This window comes from Homo sapiens, chromosome 6, assembly GCF_000001405.40.
Source record: "Homo sapiens chromosome 6, GRCh38.p14 Primary Assembly".
NCBI lineage: Eukaryota > Metazoa > Chordata > Mammalia > Primates > Hominidae > Homo > Homo sapiens.
Genome location: NC_000006.12, coordinates 139,103,336 through 139,110,407, shown reverse-complemented (window position 1 = coordinate 139,110,407; position 7,072 = coordinate 139,103,336). Strand labels below are relative to the sequence as shown.

Sequence of the window (7,072 nt, the reverse complement as noted above, 5' to 3'; positions counted from 1 at the left end):
TCTAAAACCCAGGAATTACTCTGTTCATTGTCTCTTCCCATTGCATGTCATCTTTGCAGCGGCACAATGAATGGAAATAGATACTATTAGCAACTTACACTTCCTATCTTGAGCAGATCAAATATCTCTCTAACCCCATTCAATGAAAGGTAATGGATCTTTAAAATGTCCCAATATCCACAAACATAGTGCATCACTGCTCTTAAGGGTCCTTATGATGATGGTCCCATGACTACAGGACAGAAAGATCACATTTTTACAAAACATTTCCACTGAATTTTATAATCTAATCATACCTTAAGAATTACATCTAGTTCCTTGAAAAAAATTATAAAACATTTCCCATCCTGTTTTAAATATTACTTTTTTTGTTCAATAGAGAGGTAAGTCAAATATGGATAGTTTATTAAATACATAAAGGACCTATTCACTAGCTAATGAATTTAGAGTGAAATTTTAATACTTACCTGAAAATCAAATATGACCTTCCTGTCATGTTTGTCCTGTGTATTAATCTGTTCTCACGCTGCTATAAAGAACTGCCTGAGACTGGGTAATTTATAAAAGAAAGAGGTTTAACTGACTCACAGTTCAGCATGACCGGGGAGGCCTCAGGAAACTTACAGTCATGGTGGAAGGGGAAGCAAACACGTCCGTCTCCACATGGTGGCACAAGAGAGAGGTGCTGAGCAAAGGGGGAAAAGCCTCTTATAAAAGCATCAGATCTCCTGAGAACTCACTCACTGTCACAAGAACTGCATGGAGGTAACTGCCCCCATGATTCAATTACCTTCCACCGGTTCCCTCTCCCAACACCTAGGGATTATGGGAACTGCAATTCCCAATTTGGGTGGGGACACAGCCAAACCATATCATCCTGTCTTCCCTTGGGGACTGTGCCATCAACACTTAAAGATCAGCAAACTGTAGCCCCAGCATCCAATCAACACAACAAGCTTTTACCAGCAGTCACTATTCATAAGTAGCAAGGCATGGCAGAACAAAAGATCCTAATTGTCTTTACGTGGACATGTCATAAGGTATGCTGGACTCATTAATATGATTTGTGAAAATACTGTAATATCTGACCTTGAAAAACACAGAAACAGTCACAGTTTGTCTTTAGTGCCACCATCTCTCAATCATAAATTCATTCATTCACAAAATCATTCATTCAACAAACACTTCCTGCGGCTGCACTATGTGCCAGACACATGTTTGTCCTGTGTATTAATCCGTTCTCACGCTGCTATAAAGAACTGCCCGAGACTGGGTAATTTATAAAGGAAAGAGGTTTAATTGACTCACAGTTCAGCAAGGCTAGGGAGGCCTCAGGAAGCTTATGATCATGGTGGAAGGGGAAGCAAACACATCCCTCTTCACATGGTGGCACAAGATGTTTTTTTCATAGAGACCGAGTCTCGCTATGTTGCCCAGGCTGGTCTTGAACTCCTGGGCTCAGGAGGCGGTTATCTCCATGCTGTTCATGTGATAGTGAGTGAGTTCTCAGGAGACTAAAAGCAAGACAGGCTATTCTCTGCTTTCATAGAGTTTAGTGAGGAAAACTAGCAATTAACAGTTAAATAAAAATTACAGTTAAAAATTGAAACATAAATGGTATAAAGGTAACAGTGGGTCATGTGAGACATGTGTAAGAAGGAACCAACCCTGCACATGGAGAGAAGAAGGCTCTAGATGAGGCTGAAGAGTAAGGTGGTCACAGCCAGGTTTTACAGACCTCTTTTCTATTCAGCTTGGATCCTATCTGCTGCCCAGCGCCAGGAGCTGAGACTAGCCAAGGACACCTTCTGCAGAGCCCAGACTGAGCTGGAGCCTTCCTGTCTCCTTGGTGAAAACTCTCCCGCGGCAGACTCAGCGTTGCATTATGTACGCATGCACGCTGCCATCAGGGGTGTCGGTGGAGCAGGGGCGGGGTGGTGGGCTTGTTTCTCCATGTGTCTCTGTGTGTTGGTGGGGGTGCATATTGCTAGCATAATTCACAGGTTTTAATTTATTTTATTTATTTATTTATTTTTTTTGAGACAGAGTTTCACTCTGTCTCCCAGGCTAGAATGCAGCGTTGCAATCATGGCTCACTGCAGCCTCGACCTGCCAGGTTCAAGTGATTCTCCTGCCTCAGCCTCCCAAGTGGCTGGGACCACAGGTGTGTGCCACCACACCCAGCTAATTAAAAAACATTTTTTTTCATAGAGACAGGATCTCGCTATGTTGCCCAGGCTTGTCTTGAACTCCTGGATTCAAGTGATCCTCCCACCTGGGCTTCCCAGAGTGCTGACTGGGATTACAGACATGAGCCACTGCACCCAGCATCAGCGTTTTTAAAAACACATGGACACAGGAAGGTGAACATCACACACCGGGGACTGTTGTGGAGTGGGGGGAGGGGGGAGGGATAGCATTAGGAGACATACCTAATGATAAATGACGAGTTAATGGGTGCAGCACACTAATATGGCACATGTATACAAATGTAACAAACCTGCACGTTGTGCCCATGTACCCTAAAATTTAAAGTATAATAATAATAATAATAAAAACAGTTGTATTACGTATTTCTATGATGCCATGTGAATATCTTGTAATTTTAATTATTTAACCAAAATTTGCTTTAAAATGAGGCCATTGAGAAAAATAAATAAATAAAATAAATAAAAATAAAAATAAAGTTAATTATTTTTTTCTCCTGTAGCTGCAAACTTAATTTTTTTAAGAAAACTAAATGGATGATTATTCTTCACATTCGTTGCTTGCCAGAAAGCCCAAACGTACTGACAGTGTGGAAGCCACTTCAGAGAGGCCTATGGACCCTCTGACCCACTAACTTTTTGAGGTAAGTAGGGGATAGGGAAGAGGAATTCTACAACAAGAGCTTTGAAGTCTGTGATTCATGTCAGCAAGTTAGGGAACATCTCAGGGGGACCTATGTGACAAGCCATCAGCTGTGGCTGCACTATTTAGCTTTGAAGTCCTTAACTTTTTAAAACCAGCACCCCTTTTGATACACATAAGAAACTCATACACTCTGTTATTGGTTGAATTGTGTCCTACCGAAAACATGTTGAAGCTCTAGCCCCCAGTATTTGTGAATGTGACCTCATTTGGAAATAGAATCTTTCAGATGATCAAGCTAAGATGACGTCATTCGGATGGGCCCTAATTCAGTATGACTGCATCCTTATGAAAAGGGGAAATCGGACACACAGGGAGAATGCCATGTAAAGTTGAAGGCAAGGTGATGCATCGACAAGTCAAGGAAAGCCAAAGGCTGCCAGCAAACCAAAGAAGCTCAGCAAGAGGCATGGAACAGATTCTCCCTCAGGCAGAACGAATGCTGCTAATACCTTGATCTTGGACTTCTAGCCTCCAGAACTGTAAGACAATACACTTCTGTTGTTTTAAGCCATCCAAAGTAGTATCGCGTTCATGCTAGTTTGTTATGCAGCCAGCGCAAACTAATACATACCCCAACCATCCTATTTGAAATTTCAAAACAAATGGAAAAGAAACTTCTTGTTTCTACCTTTTTTTTTTTTTTTTTTTTTTTTAGACAGAGTCTCGCTCATCACCCAGACTGGAGTGCAGTGGCATGATCTCGGCTCATTGCAACCCCTGCCTCTCAGGTTCAAGCGATTCTACTGCCTCAGCCTCCTTTGTAGCTGGGATTACAGGTACACGCCACCACGCCCAGCTAATTTTTGTATTTTTAGTAGACACAGGGTTTCGCCATGTTGGCCAGGCTGGTCTCGAACTCCTGACCTCAGGTGATCCACCTGCACAGCTTCCCAAAGTGCTGGGATTACAGGTGTGAGCTACCACGCCGGACCTGCTTCTACATTTAAAAATAAAAAGCTACAAAATGGAGAAACATGACTAAATTTATTAAAATATTGAAAATGCTTTTAAGAAATATATATTGCAGCCCACCCATTTCTGGAGATGCTGACATTCCCTGTGAAAGGATATCACTCCTTCACGCTGTACAGTTGAGAGTCACTGCTTTAGCTTCTCTGGTTTATACTGCAGTAGGGAGGGAAGGCTTGGGCACCAGCCAAACCTTCTTTCAGCCTCAGAGGAAACCTCCACCAAGGTATGATATGGGGGAGAGGTAGTGAAATCCTATGCAATGCCCTACCAAAGACACCACCTGATTATGCCCATCAAACAATACAACAGCAGGCTGGACAATTATGTCCATCCTTAGGCATAGGCATCTAGAAAACCATCCAACTTAACAGAGAAGTGGAAACCAGGAAGGCCTCATCTTTATACTATCTTGACCCCAGTTCTAGCTTGTCATGGATAGGGGAATGTCGTCTTGCTTTGGAACTAAGGTTATGAATACTGTAATAGTTTCATAGGGCCACCATAACAAAGTACCAAAAACCAGGTAGCTAAACCAACAAAAATGTATTGTCTCAGAATTCTGGAGGCTAGAATTTCAAAATCAACGTGTTGGGAAAGTTGGTTCCTTCTGAGGGAAAATCGGCTCCATGCCTTTCATCCAGTTCCTGGCAGCTGAGATACCCCTTGGCTTGAAGATACGTCACTCCAATCCTCCTTCTTCATATGGTGTTCTCCCTGTGTGACTGTAACTGTCCAATCCTCCCTCTTCATATGGTATTCTCCCTGTGTGACTGTAACTGTGAGCAAATTTCCCATCACAATCCTACCTTTTTTTTTTTTTTGAGACAGAATCTCACTTTGTTGCCCAGGTTGGAGTGCCATGGCACAAGCATGGCTCATTGCAGCCTCAACCTCCTGGGTTCAGGTGATCCTCCCATCTCAGCCTCGGGGGTAGCTGGGACTACAGGCACATGCCACCATGCTGGGTTAGGTTAATTTTTGATAGAGATGGGGTTTTGTCATTTTACCCAGCCCGGTCTCGAACACCCGGCCTCAAGGAATCTGCCTGCCTCTATCTCCCATACTGCTGGGATTACAGGCATGAGCCACCACACTTGGCCAAATTTCCCTTTTTAATAAGGACACAAGTCATATTGTATCAGGGCCCATCCTAATGACTTCATCTTAACTTGATCACTTGCAAAGACCCTATTTTCAAATAAGGTCACATTCACACATACTAGAGGTTAGAACTTCAACATGTGTGCTGTGGAGTCTGGGAGTTCAGAATTCAACCTGTAACATGTACCAACTTGACTGTCTATACTGCGAGAATCTAAGGAACACCAGTGAGGTTTTTGGATCAGAACCTGATCCTGAAGGCTGGGCACAGTGGCTCACACCTGTAATCCCAGCACTTTTGGAGGCCGAGGTGAGTGGATCACCTGAGGTGAGGAGTTCAAGACTAGCCTGGCCAACATGGTGAAACCCCGTCTCTACTTTTAAAAAAATACAAAAAAAAAAAAATTAGCCAGGTATGGTGGTGCACGTCTGTAATCCCAGCTATTCGGGAAGCTGAAGCAGGAGAATCAGTTGAACCTGGGAGGCAGAGGTTGCAGTGAACCAAGATTGCGCCACCGCACTTCATCCTGGGCGACAGAGTGAGACCCTCTCTCAAAAAAGGAACCTGATCCTGGAGGCCCAGCTACTCAACCATTCAAAAGCTGCCAGGAGGACTGAGGCTATGCATATGCTCCTCCTGCTGTAAAAGTCAATGATGTAGTGAAACCACTCTCATCCAGCTGCATTTGTACCTACATCCCTAGCTAAAATTAGCCAATAATTTTCCTTCCTTGTTTGGCCCATGGAATCAAGGTTACCTTATTGGCATACCTTGGCATACCCAAGGAGGGTGGGGAGGCACTGTCCCTACTTAACTATTCTCTGGAATTATATATATAAGATGAGGATTATCTGTTCTGTTGCTTGAAGATAAAGTAGAACTTGCTTAGAAAACCATCTTGGCCTTAGGATGTTTTGTTTGTAGGCAAACTTTTTTTCTGATATATTACATTTGTACATGTGAAATTTTGTTACATGCATAGAATGTGTAATGATCAAGTCAGGGTAATTGGGGGGTTCATCACCCAAATATTTATCATTTCTATGTATTGGGTACATTTTATGTCCACTCTTCTAGCTATTTAGAAAAATATAATACATTGGCCGGGCGTGGTGGCTCATGCCTGTAGTCCCAGCACTTTGGGAGGCCGAGGTGGGCGGATCACGAGGTTAAGAGATTGAGACCATGGTGGCCAACATGGTGAAACCCCGTCTCTACTAAAAATACCAAAAAAAAATGAGCTGGGCGTGGTGGTGTGTGCCTATAGTCCCAGCTACTCGGGAGGATGAGGCAGGAGAATCGCTTGAACCCAGGTGGGGGAGGTTGCAGTAAGTCGAGATCGCACCACTGCACTCCAGCCTGGCGAGAGAGTGAGACTCCGTCTCAAAAAACTAAAACTAAAAGTAAAGAAGAAAAAAAGAATACATCGTGGTTAACTACAGACACCCTACTTTGCTATCAAACATTATAACTTATTCCTTCTGTCTAACCGCATGTTTGTACTCATGAACCAGCCCCTCTGTATCCACCCTTCCTCTCCACACCCCACCATTTACCCTTCCCAGTCTCTGGTATCTATCTCCTTAGACAGAGCCTCTGTACCTCCATGTGATCAATTTCTCTAGCTCCAAACTTTTAAAAACTGCTGTTTCAATTTCTTTAATGGTCTAAGGTTGATTTGGAGGTTGTGTTTCTTTTTTGAGCTAATTTTTTTACATTATGTTTTTCTAGAAAATGGACATTTTACCTATGTTCTCATAATTATGCATACACTTTTTCTTGATATTCTATTATAATTTAAAAATACCTACTATATGTTTGTTATGCCCTCTTTTGCATTTAACTTTCTGGTGTGACTTCACTTGTCTTTCTCACCAAGAGTTTATCTATTTTGTTAATCTTTTCAAAGAACCAGTATCTAATTTTTGTTAATCCTCTCTATTACACATTTTTTAACTTCTTAATTTTAGTCTTCATTTTTATTATTTGGCTCCTTCCACTTTTTTTTTTCTGGTTTACTATATTGTTCCTTTCTAACTTTTTAAGGTTGATACTTGGGATGTTCATTTTGAAACATTTGTCTTT

At 42.3% G+C, this 7,072-nt stretch overlaps 1 annotated feature.

The window, feature by feature from the left end:
* Positions 542-836: a silencer, noted in NCBI's record as "tiled region #5517; K562 Repressive DNase matched - State 12:CtcfO". NCBI's record gives its function as "represses a minimal TATA promoter and a strong SV40 promoter by Sharpr-MPRA in K562 cells {active_cell/tissue: K562}" and the evidence as "EXISTENCE:reporter gene assay evidence [ECO:0000049][PMID:27701403]".